This window comes from Homo sapiens, chromosome 9 (assembly GCF_000001405.40).
Source record: "Homo sapiens chromosome 9, GRCh38.p14 Primary Assembly".
Taxonomy (NCBI): Eukaryota; Metazoa; Chordata; class Mammalia; order Primates; family Hominidae; genus Homo; species Homo sapiens.
This window is the reverse complement of record NC_000009.12, coordinates 82736127-82758634: the sequence shown is the minus strand read 5'-3', so window position 1 is coordinate 82758634 and position 22508 is coordinate 82736127. Positions and strand designations below refer to the sequence as shown.

Sequence of the window (22508 nt, the reverse complement as noted above, 5' to 3'; positions counted from 1 at the left end):
AGAGACCTCTGTGAGCTAAAGGCAGCCTCCAGTTGACAGCCAGCAAAGAAATAGAGTATTCAGTCCCACAACCACGAGGAATTAACTTCTGCCAGTTACCAGAATGAGCTAGGAAGCAATTTCTTTCCCAAAGCCTCTGGATAAAATCCTGGGACAGCTGACACTGATTTCAGCCTTGTGAGTCCCAGAGTAGAGAAACTAGTGAGCCCACCCAGATTTCTGGCCTACAGAGCTGTGAGGTAATAAATTTGTGTTGTTTGTAGCTATTAAATTTGTAGTAATTTGTTATGGCAGTAATAGAAAACAAATATGATTATTAAAAGTAAAATGGATAAGTAAATTATGATACATCTTTATAATGCACTACTATGGAAAAGAGGTCAGCAAACTATGGCTCACAGGTCAACTTTGACCTACACTTGCTTTTGTAAATAAAGATTTATTGGAACAGAGCCATGACTATTCATTTATGTATTGTCTGTGACTGCTTTCAACTATGTGAGCTGAGTTGAGTAGTTGCCACAGAGTCCTTATGGCATCCAAAGCTGGAAATATTTACTATCTAGCTCTTTAAAGAAAAAGTTTGGCAACTTTTGCTATGGAGGAGTAAAAAACAAGTGACTGGTACCCACAATAATGTAGTTCGATATCAGAAAACATAACAATAAAGGAAACCAGAAACAAAACAAATGCCAATTTTTAACAGGGAAAAACTAATATCTGCTTACATGAGTCTGCATAGTGGTTGCCTTTAAGAAAGCAACAGAGGAGGGAGGAGCCAAGATGGCCGAATAGGAACAGCTCCCGTCTACAGCTCCCAGCCTGAGCGACGCAGAAGACGGGTGATTTCTGCATTTCAATCTGAGGTACCCGGTTCATCTCACTAGGGAGTGCCAGCCAGTGGACGCAGGTCAGTGGGTGCACGCACCGTGTGCGAGCCAAAGCAAGGTGAGGCAATGCCTCACTCGGGAAGCGCAAGGGGTCAGGGAGTTCTCTATCCTAATCAAAGAAAGGGGTGACCGATGGCACCTGGAAAATCGGGTCACTCCCACCCGAATACTGCGCTTTTCCGACGGGCTTAAAAAACGGCACACCACGAGATTACATCCCGCACCTGGCTCGGAGGGTCCTACCCCACGGAGTCTTGCTGATTGCTAGCACAGCAGTCTGAGATCAAACTGCAAGGCGGCAGCGAGGCTGGGGGAGGGGCGCCCACCATTGCCTAGGCTTGCTTAGGTAAACAAAGCAGCCAGGAAGCTCGAACTGGGTGGAGCCCACCACAGCTCAAGGAGGCCTGCATGCCTCTGTAGGCTCCACCTCTGGGGGCAGGGCACAGACAAACAAAAAGACAGCAGTAACCTCTGCAGACTTAAATGTCCCTGTCTGACAGCTTTGAAGAGAGCAGTGGTTCTCCCAGTACGCAGCTGGAGATCTGAGAAGGGGCAGACTGCCTCCTCAAGTGGGTCCCTGACCCCTGACCCCCAAGCAGCCTAACTGGGAGGCACCCTCCAGCAGGGGCACACTGACACCTCACACTGCAGGGTACTCCAACAGACCTGCAGCTGAGGGTCCTGTCTGTTAGAAGGAAAACTAACAAACAGAAAGGACATCCACACCAAAAACCCATCTGTACATCACCATCATCAAAGACCAAAAGTAGATAAAACCACAAAGATGGGGAAAAAACAGAACAGAAAAACTGGGAACTCTAAAAATCAGAGCGCCTCTCCTCCTCCAAAGGAACGCAGCTCCTCACCAGCAACGGAACAAAGCTGGATGGAGAATGACTTTGACGAGCTGAGAGAAGGCTTCAGACAATCAAATTACTCTGAGCTATGGGAGGACATTCAAACCAAAGGCAAAGAAGTTGAAAACTTTGAAAAAAATTTAGAAGAATGTATAACTAGAATAACCAATACAGAGAAGTGCTTAAAGGAGCTGATGGAGCTGAAAACCAAGGCTCGAGAACTATGTGAAGAATGCAGAAGCCTCAGGAGCCGATGCGATCAACTGGAAGAAAGGGTATCAGCGATGGAAGATGAAATGAATGAAATGAAGTGAGAAGGAAAGTATAGAGAAAAAAGAATAAAAAGAAATGAGCAAAGCCTCCAAGAAATATGGGACTATGTGAAAAGACCAAATCTACGTCTGATTGGTGTACCTGAAAGTGATGGGGAGAATGGAACCAAGTTGGAAAACACTCTGAAGGATATTATCCAGGAGAACTTCCCCAATCTAGCAAGGCAGGCCAATGTTCAGATTCAGGAAATACAGAGAACGCCACAAAGATACTCCTTGAGAAGAGCAACTCCAAGACACATAATTGTCAGATTCATCCAAGTTGAAATGAAGGAAATAATGTTAAGGGCAGCCAGAGAGAAAGGTCGAGTTACCCTCAAAGGGAAGCCCATCAGACTAACAGCGGATCTCTCGGCAGAAACCCTACAAGCCAGAAGAGAGTGGGGGCCAATATTCAACATTCTTAAAGGAAAGAATTTTCCACCCAGAATTTCATATCCAGCCAAACTAAGCTTCATAAGTGAAGGAGAAATAAAATACTTTACAGACAAGCAAATGCTGAGAGATTTTGTCACCACCAGGCCTGCCCTAAAAGAGCTCCTGAAGGAAGTGCTAAACATGGAAAGGAACAACCGGTACCAGCCACTGCAAAATCATGCCAAAATGTAAAGACCATCGAGACTAGGAAGAAACTGCATCAAGTAACGAGCAAAATAACCAGCTAACATCATAATGACAGGATCAAATTCACACATAACAATATTAACTTTAAGTGTAAATGGACTAAATGCTCCAATTAAAAGACACAGACTGGCAAATTGGATAAAGAGTCAAGACCCATCAGTGTGCTGTATTCAGGAAACCCATCTCACGTGCAGAGACACACATAGGCTCAAAATAAAAGGATGGAGGAAGATCTACCAAGCAAATGGAAAACAAAAAAAGGCAGGGGTTGCAATCCTAGTCTCTGATAAAACAGACTTTAAACCAACAAAGATCAAAAGAGACAAAGAAGGCCATTATATAATGGTAAAGGGATCAATTCAACAAGAAGAGCTAACTATCCTAAATATATATGCACCCAATACAGGAGCACCCAGATTCATAAAGGAAGTCCTGAGTGACCTACAAAGAGACTTAGACTCCCACACATCAATAACGGGAGAGTTTAACACCCCACTGTCAACATTAGACAGATCAACGAGACAGAAAGTCAACAAGGATACCCAGGAATTGAACTCAGCTCTGCACCAAGAGGACCTAATAGACATCTACAGAACTCTCCACCCCAAATCAACAGAATATACATTTTTTTCAGCACCACACCACAACTATTCCAAAATTGACCACATACTTGAAAGTAAAGTTCTCCTCAGCAAATGTAAAAGAACAGAAATTATAACAAACTATCTCTCAGACCACAGTGCAATCAAACTAGAACTCAGGATTAAGAATCTCACTCAAAACCGCTCAACTACATGGAAACTGAACAACCTGCTCCTGAATGATTACTGGGTACATAACGAAATGAAGGCAGAAATAAAGATGTTCTTTGAAACCAACGAGAACAAAGACACAACATACCAGAATCTCTGGGACACATTCAAAGCAGTGTGTAGAGGGAAATTTATAGCACTAAATGCCCACAAGAGAAAGCAGAAAAGATCCAAAATTGACATCCTAACATCACAATTAAAAGAACTAGAAAAGCAAGAGCAAACACATTCAAAAGCTAGCAGAAGGCAAGAAATAACTAAAATCAGAGCAGAACTGAAGGAAATAGAGACACAAAAAACCCTTGAAAAAATTAATGAATCCAGGAGCTGGTTTTTTGAAAAGATCAACAAAATTGATAGACCACTAGCAAGACTAATAAAGAAAAAAAGAGAGAAGAATCAAATAGATGCAATAAAAAATGATAAAGGGGATATCACCACCGATCCCACAGAAATACAAGCTACCATCAGAGAATACTACAAACACCTCTAAGCAAATAAACTAGAAAATCTAGCAGAAATGGATAAATTCCTCGACACATACACTCTCCGAAGACTAAACCAGGAAGAAGTTGAATCTCTGAATAGACCAATAACAGGATCTGAAATTGTGGCAATAATCAATAGCTTACCAACCAAAAAGAGTCCAGGACCAGATGGATTCACAGCCGAATTCTACCAGAGGTACAAGGAAGAACTGGTACCATTCCTTCTGAAACTATTCCAATCAATAGAAAAAGAGGGAATCCTCCCTAACACATTTTATGAGGCCACCATCATTCTGATACCAAAGCCGGGCAGAGACACAACCAAAAAAGAGAATTTTAGACCAATATCCTTGATGAACATTGATGCAAAAATCCTCAATAAAATACTGGCAACTTGAATCCAGCAGCACATCAAAAAGCTTATCCATCATGATCAAGTGGGCTTCATCCCTGGGATGCAAGTCTGGTTCAATATATGCAAATCAATAAATGTAATCCAGCATATAAACAGAGCCAAAGACAAAAACCACATGATTATCTCAATAGATGCAGAAAAGGCCTTTGACAAAATTCAACAACCCTTCATGCTAAAAACTCTCAATAAATTAGGTATTGATGGGACATATTTCAAAATAATAACAGCTATCTATGACAAACCCACAGCCAATATCATACTGAATGGGCAAAAACTGGAAGCATTCCCTTTGAAAACTGGCACAAGACAGGGATGCCCTCTCTCACCACTCCTATTCAACATAGTGTTGGAAGTTCTGGCCAGGGCAATTAGGCAGGAGAAGGAAATAAAGGGTATTCAATTAGGAAAAGAGGAAGTCAAATTGTCCCTGTTTGCAGATGACATGATTGTATATCTAGAAAACCCCATTGTCTCAGCCCAAAATCTCCTTAAGCTGATAAGCAACTTCAGCAAAGTCTCAGGATACAAAATCAATGTACAAAAATCACAAGCATTCTTATACACCAACAACAGACAGAGAGCCAAATCATGAGTGAACTCCCATTCACAATTGCTTCAAAGAGAATAAAATACCTAGGAATCCAACTTACAAGGGATGGGAAGGACCTCTTCAAGGAGAACTACAAACCTCTGCTCAAGGAAATAAAAGAGGATACAAACAAATGGAAGAACATTCCATGCTCATGGGTAGGAAGAATCATTATCGTGAAAATGGCCATACTGCCCAAGGTAATTTACAGATTCAATGCCATCCCCATCAAGCTACCAATGCCTTTCTTCACAGAATTGGAAAAAACTACTTTAAAGTTCATATGGAACCAAAAAAGAGCCCGCATCGCCAAGTCAATCCTAAGCCAAAAGAACAAAGCTGGAGGCATCATGCTACCTGACTTCAAACTATACTACAAGGCTACAGTAACCAAAACAGCATGGTACTGGTACCAAAACAGAGATATAGATCAATGGAACAGACCAGAGCCCTCAGAAATAACGCCGCATATCTACAACTATCTGATCTTTGACAAACCTGAGAAAAACAAACAATGGGGAAAGGATTCCCTATTTAATAAACGGTGCTGGGAAAACTGGCTAGCCATACGTAGAAAGCTGAAACTGGATCCCCTTCCTTACACCTTATACAAAAATCAATTCAAGATGGATTAAAGACTTAAACGTTAGACCTAAAACCATAAAAACCCTAGAAGAAAACCTAGGCAGTACCATTCAGGACATAGGCATGGGCAAGGACTTCATGTCTAAAACACCAAAAGCAATGGCAACAAAAGACAAAATTGACAAATGGGATCTAATTAAACTAAAGAGCTTCTGCACAGCAAAAGAAACTACCATCAGAGTGAACAGGCAACCTACAAAATGGGAGAAAATTTTCACAACCTACTCATCTGACAAAGGGCTAATATCCAGAATCTACAATGAACTCAAACAAATTTACAAGAAAAAAAACAAACAACCCCATCAAAAAGTGGGCCAAGGACATGAACAGACACTTCTCAAAAGAAGACATTTATGCAGCCAAAAAACACATTAAAAAATGCTCACCATCACTGGCCATCAGAGAAATGCAAATCAAAACCACAATGAGATACCATCTCACACCAGTTAGAATGGCAATCATTAAAAAGTCAGGAAACAACAGGTGCTGGAGAGGATGTGGAGAAATAGGAACACTTTTACACTGTTGGTGGGACTGTAAACTAGTCCAACCATTGTGGAAGTCAGTGTGGCAATTCCTCAGGGATCTAGAACTAGAAATACCATTTGACCCAGCCATCCCATTACTGGGTATATACCCAAAGGACTATAAATCATGCTGCTATAAGGACACATGCACACGTATGTTTATTGCAGCATTATTCACAATAGCAAAGACTTGGAACCAACCAAAATGTCCAACAATGATAGACTGGATTAAGAAAATGTGGCACATATACACCATGGAATACTATGCAGCCATAAGAAAGGATGAGTTCATGTCCTTTGTGGGGACATGGATGAAATTGGAAATCATCATTCTCAGTAAACTATCGCAAGAACAAAAAACCAAACACCGCATATTCTCACTCATAGGTGGGAATTGAACAATGAGATCACATGGACACAGGAAGGGGAACATCACACTCTGGGGACTGTTGTGAGGTGGGGGGAGGAGGGAGGGATAGCAGTGGGAGATATACCTAATGCTAGATGACGAGTTAGTGGGTGCAGCACACCAGCATGGCACATGTATATGTATGTAAGTAACCTGCACAATGTGCACATGTACCCTAAAACTTAAAGTATAATAATAATAAAATAACTAACTAACTAAATAAATAAATAAATAAAAAGAAAGGCTTTTCTAGGAGATTGGTGAAAGATAAGGTTGGAATGACATAGGCCAGATGGGGGATAGGTTTAAGATGTGCATGGTCCTGAATTCATAGCTGAAGTATAAGGCATTATAGAGCCACCGAAGATAAATAAATGACATTATACTTAGTGAAAAAAAAAAAAAAAGTGACAGAGGGCTGGGCGCGGTGACTCACGCCTGTAATCCTAGCACTTTGGGAGGCCGAGGCGGGCGGATCACGAGGTCAGGAGATCGAGACCATCCTGGCTAACATGGTGAAATCCCATCTCTACTAAAAATACAAAAAAATTAGCCCGGCGTGGTGGCGGATGCCTGTAGTCTAGCTAATCAGGAGGCTGAGGCAGGAGAATGGCTTGAACCTGGGAGGTGGAGCTTGCAGTGAGCTGAGATAGGGCCACTGCACTCCAACCTGGGTGACAGAGTGAGACTCTGTCTCAAGAAAAAAAAGAAGAAAGTGACAGAAAAGCATAGTAATTTAGACCGGGCGTGAGGGGGCTTCTGTGATGCTGGTAATATTCTATTTCTTAGTCTACTTTCTTAGGTGGCTAAATGGCTTTGTGAAAAATCTATGAAGCATGATTTACTCAGTTTTCACGTGTACTATATACTTCAACAAAAAGAAATTTAAAACAACATGACTTTATTCAGCACTCTAAAAACATATAATTTAGAGGTCCTAAGTAACATTGAATCTAAAATTCAAAATATTTTGTATTTGAAATGTCCTCTAGAATCCATACAATAACCTCCACTTGTCTCTAATGTCTTGCTACTCATCTTGCACCAGCAGCATTCACATCAACTGGGAACTTGTGGGAAACAAAGAATCTCAGTCCTATCCCAGATGTGTTGAATTAGAAACAGTATTTTAATAAAACACTAGGCAATTCTTTTACGCATTAAGGTATGGATTTGCTATATCACTGCTTCTTGTCCTTCGCATACCTTATACATACTTACATGGTCAAAAATTCAACTCTTGACAATCCACACTCCCCAAACTCCTCACGTCACTCGGGCAGGACTGCTCTGAAAGCGAATATACGTGACCACTTTGGTTAAAGCTCTCTGGTTTCTGCAGTAGTAAGGCATCGGGAGACTCTGAGGCCCACATTTCCTTAATTTGCATTTGCATGGGCAAAATGGACTCCAGATTTATCTTTGTTATAATAATAAAGGGAACAAACATGGGTAGCCTTTTTCTCTGGCACCTTACATTTCAGACCTCAGGGGGAATATAAACATATCCATGGATTATTTTTATAATCTCAAAGGGTCAGTTTTTCATCTTCAAAGAGTCAAATAGAATGAGAAAAGTTGTCTCTGGGAGAATAAGATCTCCATCAGAGAGGAAATAAAACCATGTTTTCTTCTCTAGAAAACTGAAGAAAGGTCATATATCACAAAACTAGATGTAGGACAAATAATAATATACTGTTCCATTAGAAGGGAAGAATGGAGAAATGACTTGCTGATAATAGTTCTTATATGTTAATGACTCAGAAATCAAAAGTTGGAAAAGGAGTGTTAGAAATTTTTAGCTAATGGTGCTGGGATCTGAGTGCTTCTGCTCTTTCTTTCTTTCACATAATATGGCTTTAAAGTGGTTAGTATATTTATTATCTTTGCCATTTGTTGTTCCTCCCAATTCTGAAATGCCTGTGTAGCTGGAAAAAACGAAATCATCCAGTTGTGCAATTTTTGAAAGCACTGGGGACAAGGAAGAAGGGATGATGAAGGAAAGTAACTAATGCGCTCTACAAAGTAATGTGACTAATATGTCAAGAAGCCAATAACTCCAATGGAGCAGATGATGATCAAGCAGCCAGGAGGACCACTGCCTTTGAGGCAGAATGGACAAAATAGGTCATTTTCTGATAAATTTTAGGTCTTTGTATTTTTGTATCTGGAAATATAAAGTGCTCAGTTTGCCACACCTTGAATGAGTGAGTAAATGAGTTAATGGGTGAGTGAGTGAGTGTGTGTGCAAGTTTTGAAAAATCAGTGAAAGGAAATAAATTCCAGGTTGGGGTTAAGGAGATGAGAAAAAGGTTTGGGCCCATGGGAGGGTAAGACCATAAACTGCAGTACGATGAGCCCAGGATTAGAGCTTCATGTGCCTTCTACCTGAGTGGACATGTGACTCTTAGGCCTTCTGGGACTTGCTAGCACTCATCTGGAGAAGAAAAGACTTAAAGGAATTGGAGTTTGAGCCAGACACCTAGAAATTAGAGAGCAGGGTGACCAGCTGCTGTGTTCCCTTGACTGAAAAGACAAGCATCATAGTTGCAGCTCAAAATAGTACACCAATCATATTGCAGCATATGAAATTATCTCAGAGTGGCTGGTTTTTCTTATGTTTATATGAAAAAATCAGCAACTATGCCTTTTTTTTGTTTGTTTTGAGACGGAGTCTCACTCTGTTGCCCAGGCTGGAGTGCAGTGGTGCGATCTCGGTTCACTGCAACTCTGCCTCCTGGGTTCACACCATTCTCCTGCCTCAGCCTCCCAAGTAGCTGGGACTACAGATGCCGCCACCATGCCTGGCTAACTTTTTTAATATTTTTAGTAGAGACGGGGTTTCACCGTGTAAGCCAGAATGATCTTGATCTCCTGATCTCGTGATCTGCCCAGAACTGTCCCAAAGTTCTGGGATTACAGGCGTGAGCCACCACGCCCCGCCGCAACTATGTCTTTTATATTCTCTCACATTCAGTAAAAAGAGGCTATTGAATGTATTTTATCTATATAAAGAAATGCATTTTATTTGTCAACTATTAAAATCATTATTTTAAAAAAGTATTTAAATATGGTTCATCATTCACGTTATGATGCTTGTTATATACTTTATAATACCCACATATAACTAGTATGAGATAAATGCATGTGCTGGTTTTACTACTAAGCAGCAGGAAGTTGTAATACTTAGAAATTCACACTTCAGGAGTAGTTACCTAGCATTGTATGAGAAAGATCACTCTTCAGAGGTAACTATTGAAGGCATGTTTTTTATCTGTATCTCTTATTTACATCGGTAGTTTTGTTAATCAGCATAATGAATAATAGAAATAGATTTTTATTGTAGAAACTGATAACTTCTTTTTTTTTTTTTTTTTTTTTGAGACTGAGTCTGGCTCTGTCCCCCAGGCTGGAGTGCAGTGGCGCGATGATCTCGGCTCACTGCAAGCTCCGCCTCCCAGATTCACGCCATTCTCCTGCCTCAGCCTCCCTAGTAGCTGGGACTACAGGGGCCCGCCACCACGCCTGGCTAATTTTTTGTATTTTTTAGTAGAGACAGGGTTTCACCGTGTTAGCCAGAATGGTCTCAATCTCCTGACCTCGTGATCCGCTGACCTTGGCCTCCCAAAGTGTTGGGATTACAGGCATGAGCCACTACGCCCGGCCAAAACTGACGACTTCTATTCAGTATAATCAGCATTCGAAATGAGCTGTCATTGGTAAAATTAATGGTATTTAAGAGATATGGGCTGGCTAAAATATTCAGGAGCACCTCAAAGGCCGGAGAGCTGGGACTTCTTCAGTTTTACACAACAGGTTGTATAACTTCTTAGTGTCAGCTTGCTAATGGATGTTTGGTTACTAAGTACCTGGGCCATTTTGCTAGGGCATGTTTGTTTAAGGCATGTCTGCATATGTGGCAGCATTTTGCCTGAGGCTTGGTCTGAGGACACAGAGAAGTAACTGTCCTTCCCCTACCTTAAGCATGTTGGCAGCTATTATTTTTTGAAAGCAAGTAATTAAGGGTTGTTCATGACCATTTTAAAATAACTTATTAAAAACTTATTTACATGCATTTTTCATTTTTATCAGTCTTCTTTCACTAGTCTATTGATAACTCTGGGGGGATAAAAAGGTCAGCCATTGGCCTTGGGAGCCATAAGTGACATCCACCTTTGGCAATTCTCTGGGTGACAATAGCTATCATTTTCCAATTTGGTTTCCTGATGCACTTCTGCCTGCTTAGACCCATCCCATTAGTCTCCATCTGTGGGGATACGAAGATTAACCTTACTCAGTGTTATGTTAGAGATTTGAATTGGAGATCAATTTCCTTTAGGGAAGGGACTATCAATCAATGTCAACCTTTTATTTATGCAACACCCACTGTATGCACAGTATTGTTCTAAGTTTTTTGGACAATTATCAAAATTACATACACTATAGACCATGGTCTCCCAAAACCCATGATCCACAGGGGCGCAGAAGATTGGGTGCATTTAATTTCATTATCCGAAAATAATCTTTAGTCACAGCTGCCTATGACTTCACTGCTGCGGGATCTAATTTGTGGTGGATCACATGTGCTTTAAACTTCTTTTCTTTCATTCCATTCTTCCTCCTTCCCTTCTTTTCTCTCTCCCTTCATCTTTTTCTTTTTTTATTTATTTTTTTCCCATTTCTCCCTCCCTTTCACCCTCCCCTTCTACCTTTCATTTGCTTATTTTTTTTTTTTTTTTGCCTGCAACTCTTTATTTAAGCATTTCCCTCAGATATTAAAGCTTTTAATTTACTGTTTTGTTTTCCCTTTCTTCACATCATGAAAGCTAAATGGGTTCATTTAAAAGTAAATGATCTCAGCTGGGGCACAGTTGCTCACGCCTGTAATCCCAGCACTTTGGGAGGCCAAGGCGGGCAGATCACGAGGTCAGGAGATCAAGACTATCCTGGCCAACATGGTGAAAGCCCGTCTCTAATAAAAAAAATACAAAAATTCATGCACCTGTAGTCCCAGCTACTCGGGAGGCTGAGGCAGGACATTTGCTTGAATCCAGGAGGCAGAGGCCACAGTGAGCCGAGATTGCGCCACTGCACTTCAGGCAACAGAGTGAGACTCCAACTCAAAAAAAAAAAAAAAGTTAATAGTCTCTTCTCTCCCAGAATATGACTGCTGGATGCTGGGTGTTGAGTACTTCTGTTACCATAACCTGAGTCCCAAGTTCTTTGACTCTCCTGTAAGTAGTAAACTAACATCAGGCCAAGCAGAAGTCTTCTCAGGCAAGGTTTAATAGGCTTGTGGATGGAGCAGCACCAGGGAGCTGCATGCAGGAAGGGGATCCTGGTGCTTGCTCCTGAGGGGCTCAGCTCCTGTCATTTTAAGGAAGTTAAGGCAGGAAAAAGGAGTGACGCATAAGCATGTTTGGATGGGGTCTTCTCTGCGCCTGTGCAGTGAGGTGTTGTGTCCTAACATGCATCCCATGTACAGAAGGGGGCAGATAAGCACCTCCTTGGGTGGTGATTTTAGTATTACGATGACATTATAATGAGGAAAAAGTTGGCGAAAGTCTGCGCTGGAGTGCCTCTTGTTGCCAGGCAGCTGGATCTGGTCAGTTCCATGTTGGGTCATGCCAGAGTCTCGCTTCAATCGCCTGGGAAGACGTCACTCAAGGACATCAGCGGTTGGTTTTACCTTTTATGGTTAGAGATTTGACCTGCTCCACTAAGTTAGGAGGGGACCCCACTTTCTGCTTTGTGATTTGGGTCAGTTTGTCAAGGGAGGCAGGAAGGTAGGGTAGGGACTATGTCGGGACGTGTGAAGCTCACTGGGATTTTTGCTAGTTGTGTCTCTGCCAGGATCAAGTTTCTTCCCTTTACTGTCTCATTTCCTCTTTCAGGCCATGCTAAAGGCAACTGGCCTTCACTGAACTTTAGTATATTTCCAAATAGCCTAGACAGACCTGAACCCTCCCATGCATGGAAGCTCATCTTACTACTGTAGGACTCAGGCATTTTGGGGTTTGAACCTTGGCTCTCACATCCTGATTCTATGGCATTGGATAAGGTGCCTGAATTCTCTCAACTCTAGTTTCTTCATCCATAAACTAGAGGCTGTGATCTTTACTCCATAGTATATAAAGGTATATAGAGTATTCCCCCCCACTTTGGTTATTGCCATAACTTCTGCCTTATTTTTAACCCAGTTCTTGGTTTCTGATCTTCCTGGACCCAACCCTGTACTGCACTGCACTGGGATGACCTGCCTGTGTTCATCCATCAGGTATTGGAGCCAGATGTGTCTCCTGATGTCAGCATTCCTGTCCCCATCAGAGCATCTGCGCTCCACCCAGCCCACCAATACACACAGGGCTGTAGTGATCCCAGAGGGTCTGGACTCTTTTGTAATTTGTACCGTGCACACCAGGGGCCCTGAATGCCAGGAGGATTTATTTTAGTTAAGAAGGTCAGGCCGGGCGCGGTGGCTCACGCCTGTAATCCCAGCACTTTGGGAGGCTGAGGCGGATGGATCACGAGGTCAGGAGATCGAGAGCATCCTGGCTAACATGGTGAAACCTCGTCTCTACTAAAAAATACAAAAAATTAGCCGGGCATGGTGGTGGGTGCCTGTAGTCCCAGCTACTTGGGAGGCTGAGGCAGGAGAATGGCATGAACCCGGGAGGCAGAGCTTGCAGTGAGCTGAGATCGCGCCACTGCACTCCAGCCTGGGTGACAGAGCAAGACTCCATCTAAAAAAAAAAAAAAAAAAAAAAAAAGAAGAAAAACAATTCTTCCTCCATTTTCTCTCAGTAGTTATAAATGTATATAATAACCTCCCCATAATATACTTAATATTACCTGTTTGGAAGGAGTTAGAAATCTGAGGCATCAAAGAGCTTAGGATTTTAGGACCTGGAATCAGAAAGACTGGCCTTCACATCCTGGCTTTGTTTTTCAGTAGCTATGTGAATTTGGGGGCATTTTAACAGTTTTGAGCCTTAGTTTCAACCCGATCTATTTATCTAAAGGTAGCAGTTTCCTTGTGGAGTTATAGAATGGTCTGGGACATTGGAGACATAGATTCAGATCTTGCCTCTACTGTTAATGGAATGAACAATTTTGAGAAAAATCTCACTATCCTTCTGTTTCTGTTTCCTCATATATAAAATTTGGAAAATAATGCACAGAGAATTGTGGTAAAGATTAATGAGGCAAGCTCTTTTTCGTGGCACCTTGGGGGTGATCAGCTGTTTCAGAAGGAAGCTGCACATTTCCTTCCCAGCTACTGGCTGCCAGAAGTTCATTGAAGTAGATAATGACAGCAAACCTCATACCTTTGTGAGAAGCGTATGGCCACAGAAATTGCTGCTGACACTCTGAGTGAAGAATAGAAGGGTTATGTGTACAAAATCAGTAGTGGGAAAAAACAAACAAGTTTTCCTCATGAAGCAGGGTACCTTGACCATGGCCATGTCTGCCTGCTGCTGAGCAGGGGCATTCCTGTAATAGACCAAGGAGGACTTGGGAAAGGAGGTGCTAATCTGTTCTGGGTTTATTGTGGACGCCAATCTGTGTGTTCTCACTTTGGTTATTTTTTTTTTTTTTAAGGAGGAAGATATTCTTGGACTGCCTTACTACTGTGCCTCGTCACCTGGGGCCTGAGAGAGCTAGCGGTGTCTGCAAATTTTCCAACTCTCTAAAGAAGATGATGTCCACCAGTTTGCTAAGAGAAAGCCCCTGAATAAAGACAGTAAGAAACTCAGGACCAAATTGCTAGAGATTCAGTGTCTTGTTACTCAGCATGTCCTGCAATACAGATGTAAGCACATTGTTCTAAACAAACAACATACTTGAAAAAAATAAGGACTAGGCAGCAGAATATGATAAACTTTTGCCCAAGACACCAGAGAAGGCCAAAGAAAAACAAAACAATAGGAACGGATTGCCAAGAGATGGGGGCTGTCTTCTCTGAGGGTTTCTGAGTCCAGTCGAAAATAAGATGTTCTAAGAGTAACAAATAAGATCAGACTTCAAAAAAAAAAGACTAAATGAGACAAAAAATCTGTGACTACATTTACCTACAAAAGGCTTTGCAAATGTTAGCAAATGTTATTTCTAGTTCTGAGAATCATGCTCTCACATAAGGCCAATCAGTGTTTGAATGAGTTAAACTAGGAAAGAAGGATGGAATCGTTTTTAATCTGCTTTTCATGGTATCTCTGGCTTGACTAGGTTTCTCTGACTTTCTCTAGTTCTCATGCCTTTCTCATTTATCGCTCCTGGGACCCTCTACTTCCTCTCCTTTGTGTTACCTAGGGCAGCTGCCCAACCTGAACCAACAAACAACAATAACAACAAAAAAATCATTTGTTTTTAAATCGCTCTTGTTCCTGTCTGCTATGCTATTTCTAGCTTCCAACATTTTTTTTCTTTCTGGTTCTCCTCTGTGAGAGACACACCTCCTAGAATTGCATTCACTGTGAGGAAGTGCGGGGTAGCAGAGTAGGCCTGAGAGCCCACTCATGGCTGTAGCTGGTCCCCAAAGCAAGCTGCTTTCATTTAGGGTGGCTTCTGGACATGAATCTTTTGACAAGACTGCCAATGGATTCAGGAGGCAGGGAAGAGCTCTAAAAAGCTCTCTCTGTGTTTCTGTTCAGGATGAACTTCCAACTAATCTCAGTGCAGGATGCCTTTAGCACCTGTGATGATTAATTTTATGTGTCAACTTTGCTGCCATGAGGGATGCTAAGATAGCTGGTAAAACATTATTTCTGGGTGTGTCTTCAAGGGTGTTCCTGGAACAGATTAGCATTTCAATCGTGGGCTGAGTCAAAAGGATCCACTCTCACCAATGTGAGTGGACCAAAATGGCAGAAGAAGGGAGAATTCTATCTTTCTCTTTCTCTTTTTGTTTCTTCTCTTTCTTCTTGAGCTGGGACATCCATCTTCTCCTCCCTTAGATATTGGAGCTTGGGCCTTTGGACTTACGACTTCAGTTCCTCTGGCCCTCAGACTTTCAGACTTGTACTGAATTGCAACACTGACTTTCCTAGTTCTCCAGATTGCAGATGGAAGATTGTAGAACTTCTCAGCCTTCATAATCAGGGTGAGCCAATGCCTTATAATACACTGCCTTATACTGTATCTCTATATAGCTATTGGTTCTGATTCTCTAGAAAACCCTGACTAATACAGCATCACAGTGCCCTTAAGAGAATATCTCTACAGGAACACCTAGAGCATTTGTGCCTCAGAAGGTATTCTCTTCTAATTGTGAATAAAGAGTATGAGGAATAAATCTCCATGTGCAAGAAAATAGTTGCTGTTAGAAATTCTCCCCAGACTTAAACATTGTCAAACACAGAGACTGTTCGAAGAACAATATTGGGAATTAGTTTATATTGGAAGTATACTCTGTCTCTAAAGAACCTCAGAATGTTACAGCTTGATAGTCTAGTTTGGAGGCCCAAACTCAAATGTCAGTAGGAGGCAAGCACAGAACCTAGATGAGAGAAGTCACCTGGAGGGGACCATGGCATCAGCAGAGCGCAGACATATAAAGGGACAGAGGCAAATCCACTTCTGATGAGTGTTGCCTTGATGCTCAGTGCTGTCAGTGTCTCCAATTTGTATTAAGAGAAACTGGATTTTCATGTGAAACCCTTTTAAATATTTGCAAGCGATTAAACAAACAAAAGCACCAAGTGGTTGTGTGTTAAAATTGCCAGTCTAGTTAATATGCCTTTTTTGTTTTGTTTTCTTTTTAAAGGAAGCTGAGTCTCAGCAATGAGAAATGACGGTTACCCAGAAAGTTGTTGGAGAAAATTGTTCTAGATAATTGTCTGGATGGTAAGGCCCTAAAGTACATTTATTAAGACCAAGTCCATAGCCACTCAACCCCTACAGATATACTAATGGAACCTAGGTGTGGTAGATCATATAATTAATCTCACGCCTTTTCAATCGCATTATAAGTATATCCATGCCATTACCACAGCCTTGTGGTGGGTGGAGTGTATTTGCCCATCCTTGACTTTGGGTTTGACCTTGTGGTTAATGGGATATTAGCAGATGCAACTCAAGCAGAGACTTGAAATGTGCTAGCATGGTTGGTCTTGCCCTCTTCTGCCATCATCATGAAGAGAACACGCCTCATGGAAATGCTAGTACCAGAACAAGTGGCACCTGGACCTGACTTGCAACCTGGAGAAAAGTCAAATGGCATTCAGGCAAAATTAACAGTATCCCAGCTAGTCTGCTGATGAGCAGGAGATGATGCTTATTTTTCTGTGCTGCTGGGATTTTGTGGTTGTTATGTAGTGAGAACTGATGAATAAATACACATAGAATTGTGCTCCTATCCAACCCAGAGGAAATTTACATCCTTAATGAAACTCCAATTACCACTTCCCCAATGCACGATATATAGCAACATACCACAGATGGGGTGGCTTAAACAACGGAAATTTATTTTCTCACAGTTCTTGAGGCTAGACGTCCAAGGTCAAGGTGTTGGCAGGGTTAGTTCTCCTGAGGCCTCTCTTCTTGGCTTGCAGATGGCCACCTCCTCCTGTGTGCTCACAGTCTCTCCTCTGTGCACACACATCCCTGGTGTCTCTCTGTCCAAATTTCCTCTTCTTATAAGGACACCAGTCAGATTGAATTAGGGCCCAACTTAAGAACTTCATTTTAATTTAGTCACTTCCTTAAAGAACTTATCTCCAAACACAGTCACATTCTGAGATGTGGAAATTAGGGCTTCAACATGGATTTTGAGAGGGACACAATTCAGTCCCTAATAGACAGGTTATATTTGACTAGAGTGACCATTTTTTGTCTGAACCCAGGCATAGTAAGAGTACTAAAATGTCGAACCACTTCAGATGCTAGGATAACCAGTGTAAACTAGGGCTGAATATATGTCCATACCATGTGGTGGTGCTGGTGATAGGGGTGTATCCAGCCTCCTTCACTGGGGATGCAGGTCTATTCCAACTGTTTCGACCACTGTTATAAAAGCTTGTTTTAGTTCTCAGGCCGACTCAGGAAGGCCGCGGCTGACCAAAGTGAAAAAGGATTTAATTAACCTCCTTGAATATCACCCCTTATCTGCTTTCTCCCTTCTGCCAGGTGATCCCCTCTCACCTCTCCTCAAAAGCTTGCATGTAGACCCGGTCTCTTGCACAGCCTTTGTGTTTATGCTGCACAAACCTTGAAGTCAGACTCAGTAGCACTTTGCATTTACCATGAATACTTAGTAACATTAGTGAGCTCTATGGATTCTGTTAACAATTTTTCATGGAGAATGAGAATGTTCTCCTTACTCACCACCAATGAACATAATCTAGTTTTCAAAATCACAATAAATAATTCTTTTCCTCATTTCATACTGTTTCTACCTCTTGTACTTTGACATCTTCCTATATTCAGATATCAGGTGAACATTCTTTCTCTCTTTTTTTTTTTTTTTTTGAGACAGAGCTTCACTCTTGTTGCCCAGGCTGGAGTGCAATGGTGCGATCTCTGATCACTGCAACCTCCACCTCCCAGGTTCAAGCAATTCTCCTGCCTCAGCTTCCCTCGCACATAGCTGGGATTACAGGTGCCCGCCACCACGCCTGGCTAATTTTTGTATTTTTAGTAGAGACAGGGTTTTGCCATGTTGGCCAGGCTGGTCTAAAACCCCTGACCTCAGGTGATCTGCCTGCCTCAACCTCCCAAAGTGCTGGGATTACAGGAGTGAGCCACCACGCCCGGCTGAACTTTCTTGAGTAGCAACCCCATTGGACATTTAGTCCAGTCTTTCTTGTCTTGCAGAGAACCTGCAAAACCAGCCAGGCTTCTTTCTATGGGGGCAACTGACACATGGACAAGAAAGGCAATCATTTTTAGATCCTGGGAATGACTCAAGAGGAAGGTTTGACATCACTAGGATGCTTCTCAGTGTATCGCTGATCACACAGCAATGGCAACAGCAGAATGAATATTGGCTAGACACCTAAAGCTAGAACATCAGGAGTATATGAGGCACCTCTTTTAGTACTCCAAATGACTCTCTGGTGCAACCTTTCCTTGTTGCATGTGGGTACACCTGTGTTTATAGCATGAGCAGATGTGTGGCTGGTTGCTGATGCCATCATGAAAGATAATACCCAGTGCCCATATTGTAGGATTGTCTGAACCACTGAAGACTTTTTGCCTTTTCTTAATAACAGTGACTCTCAACCTGGGCTGTACTTTAGATCATGTGGTCACGTGGAGAGCTTTCAAAAATCCTGACACTCAAATAACACTCCTGGCCAATTAAAACCACTGGAGGTGAGATCTAGGCATCAGTATTTGTTTAAATTTTTTTTGTTTTTGTTTTTTGAGATAGGGTCTTGCTCTGTCCCCCAGGCTAGAGTGTAGTGGTGTGATAATAGCTCACTGCAGCCTCCAACTTCTGGGCTCAAGCAATCCCTTTGCTTCTGCCTCCCAAGTAGCTAGGACTACAGGCACTCACCACCACACCTGGCTTATTAAAAAACTTTTGTTTTGTAGAGATATGGTCTTGCTCTGTTGCCTGGGGTTGGCATCAGTATTTTTAATAGCTCTGTTGATTATTCCATGGTGCAGCAAAGTTTGAGAAGTTCCTGGCTACTCAAAGCACGGTTAGTGATCAACAGCGTAGCCATCCCTGGGAGCTTGTCAGAAATGCAGAATCTCAGGCCCCACCCCAGACCTGCAGAATCAGAATCTGTGTTTTATCAAGCTCCCTGGGTGATTCCTATCCACATTAATGTTTGAGGAGCTCCGAGCTAGATCAGCTGTTCTTACCTTTGCCTGCACATTAGTAACGTTTGGGGAGCTTTAAAAATGCTGGTGCTCTTGGCTGCACGGCAAACTCCACTCAGTCACAACCACGGGGTTAAGCACCAGGAGCCAGGATTTTTTTTTAGATCTCTGTGGTGATTCAAATTGAGAACCACTGCTCTAGGCTCTAAAATTTATCTCTGTTTGTAGCCCTTGTTCCCAGCACACAAATGCGAAGGACTTGAGAGGTCTTAGAGCCATGATGTTGCCCGATGCCGTCACACCAGCCAGGAGTGATGTTACATCAGAAGAGTTGCACAGTGATTGCAGCTGGGGCTTCTCTACTGCCTTGGTGCTGCCTCATTTGTAAAGAAACCGTGGCTGGTGGCACCTGGAGGTTCTTGAAGTGAATACTAACAGAGGGTCAGAAATAGTGCCCAGACATTTATTAGGAACCTTCAGGAAAAGGCCTGCCAGAAGGAGATTCAGACCTGTCTCCCACCTGCAGTTACACTGGCATAGGCGAGATCAAGCTGGAATGAGTGGGAAAACACCCCCAGTTGTGAAGGCCTAAGATGCCTGGAAATAACTTTAGGATCAAACTACCTTCTTTTTTTTTTTTTCTTTTTTTTTTTTTTTGAGACCAAGTGTCACTCTTATTGCCCAGGCTGGAGTGCAGTGGCATGATCTTGGCTCACCCCAACCTCCACCTCCCAGGTTCAAGCGATTCTCCTGCCTCAGCCTCCCGAGTAGCTGGGATTACAGGCATGCGCCACCACCCCCAGCTAATTTTGTATTTTTAGTAGAGACGGGGTTTCTCCATGTTGATCAGGCTGGTCTCGAACTCCCAACCTCAGGTGATCCACGTGCCTCGTCCTCCCAAAGTGTTGGGATTACAGGCGTGAGCCACTGCGCCCCGGCGATCATACTACCTTCTTTGGTGCTGTTGAATGTTCTTAGCCAATGGCATTATTTACTTACTCTATAAATAATACCATTTTTATTCTATTAAATGCTTAACAGTGCAAATATTACGGGTTTAATTGTGTCTCCCTAAAACAGATATGTTAAAATCCTAACCCCCAGTAGCTCAGAATGTGACCTTATTTCAAAATAAGGTGTTTACGAAAGTAATGAAGTTAAGATTAGATCATTCGAGTGGGCCCTGATCTGATATGACTGATATCCTTATAAAAACAGGAAATCTGGACACAGACAGGCACATAGAGGGAAGACGACATGAAGGCCCACAGGGAGAAGATGGCTGTGACTGTAGTGATCCATCTACAAGTCCAGAAATGCCGAGGATTTTGCTGGCAAACACCAGATGCTAGCAAGAGGCAAGAAAGGGTTTCCTCTAGAGCCCTCAGAGAGAGCATGGCCCGACAACACCTTGATTTCAGAGGTCTAGCCTCCAGGACTGGAGACTATAGATTCCTGTTGTTTTAAGCCACCTAGGTTTTAGTAGATTGTTACAATAGTCCTAGGAAACTAATACAAGCAGTAAGTTTAAAAATGAATTAAGAAGACATTCTAAAAATTAAATCTAAAGAAAAAAATCAAACTGGAAGAGGAAATTATAAAACTGAATAGTTATTTTGAAAGATTTTTATTGATAAATATAAGTGCACAGATGCTTAAAATAAAAAGCTGAAAAGCGCTTTGCTTAAAGATGTCATATTTTCCAGCAAGCAATGAAGGGAACTTAGAGCCATTTGCGGAAATGTGTTTTCCCAAATGTGTTTTCCCCTTTGAAATCATTAAAACATACATTGTTGCTCTTTATGCTAGTTTTATGATGCATGTCAGAATTCCAAATTAAATATTGTTTAGATGCTTGGGCACCAAGAGTTATTTCTCAAGGAGACCTAAGAATGGGCAGAGAATATCATTTTATACCGAAGCAGTGAATCCTTACTCAATGGGCAAGATGTATTTTACAGTAGGGTTTTATTACAATATCAAAATATTTTGACAGGCAAAAGACTATGAATACAGAAAGACCTCTGTGTTCTACAAACCAATAATAGCAAGCACATTTGCCAAGAAGTTAGACACTGCCTTTTATAACATGTTCGTATCTTTTGTTTCATTCTTTGCTTCTATGCCAGTAGACCTGGCAGTGCTAAATCCAAGAGACCTAGAAACCTTTTCATATTTCCCCTCCCGAGAGCCACAGATGAAAGTACCCTTGCTAACTTTGCTGAGCTTTTTCATCAGCTCCTGAAGTTTCTACAAAAGTATGTTGCTGACCAGGAAACTGGGTCAGGCAATTGTTCTGCAATAAAGATGATCTTTTGAAGTGTCTCAGCAGCAGCCTAACTTTAACAGGAGTCCTGTGGATCATGCTCTTCACAAATTGAGCTTCAGGCCTCAGATATAATTTCTCCTTTAATAACAATAAAAAAATCATTGCCCTTTTTTTTCCCCCCCACCTGCCTCTGGGTTTTCTGATTGATGGACCTATTCACTTAAAAAGAGACTTTTAAAAAACACTTTAAAAAAATACGATTACATCTTGAAATATATTTGCCAAGAATAGCTATCTCTAGAAACTCTATAAAGCTAGTACATCTGAAACACTGCCATGCTGCCATAGGACGCACACCATTGAATTGGGCAGAATCTCTAAGAGGTGCTTCGACTGTGGTTTGAATAGGATTTGATCTTTCAGAGTCAGAGGTATTTTCCAGGTCTTGGGATTCCCCGCCCCCCACCAACAGAGCCATTTTCTCCCTTAGTTCTCCAATTAGAGAAGAAATAAACTGTGGTCTTATTTTTATTTAAACTGACAAGATTAGCATATTCAGAGTGAAATATGTATAACTCATAGGATCAGATACCTTGTAACGGGGACATGAATTATGAATCAATGAAAGAAGCTGTCACCAGCCATGTTACCTTGATATTAATAGCATAAGCAGTCAATGTTGGAAGTAGCTGGAGCACATTTTCCATTAAATCCTTCTTGTCTATCAGGAATGAGATAGAGACAGAGGAGGGAAAAGAGAGAAAGGTGAGAGTGGGCTGAGAGACGGAAGGATACTATTTATAAGGATTTCTTTTTACAACCAATGGAGTTCAGATAAATTACTTGTTGGAATCCCCAGCGAATTCAGGTTCATTCAGATTAC

The 22508-nt window shown here is 41.9% G+C and overlaps 2 long non-coding RNA genes and 1 pseudogene across 2 annotated transcripts in view, besides 1 other annotated feature; 2 read left to right on the top strand and 1 right to left on the bottom strand.

Moving 5' to 3' along the window:
- The window catches only part of LOC124902188 (uncharacterized), a 44835-nt gene extending 23748 nt beyond the window's left edge, over positions 1–21087 (top strand). Inside the window, exons 2-3 of the long non-coding RNA XR_007061608.1 lie at positions 14191–14332; positions 16352–21087. This is a non-coding gene — a long non-coding RNA (uncharacterized LOC124902188). The remainder of the gene's footprint in view (positions 1–14190; positions 14333–16351) is intronic.
- LOC107987087 (uncharacterized) overlaps positions 1–22508 on the bottom strand; it is a 288244-nt gene that overhangs the window by 21561 nt on the left and 244175 nt on the right. The gene's annotated exons all lie outside the window — the stretch shown is intronic.
- Positions 658–1157: an enhancer, noted in NCBI's record as "H3K4me1 hESC enhancer chr9:85372393-85372892 (GRCh37/hg19 assembly coordinates)". NCBI's record gives its function as "activates a minimal SCP1, AML or CMV promoter by ChIP-STARR-seq in primed H9 embryonic stem cells {active_cell/tissue: H9 hESC(primed)}" and the evidence as "EXISTENCE:reporter gene assay evidence [ECO:0000049][PMID:30033119]".
- RPS6P12 (ribosomal protein S6 pseudogene 12) lies at positions 13843–14580 on the top strand (annotated as a pseudogene).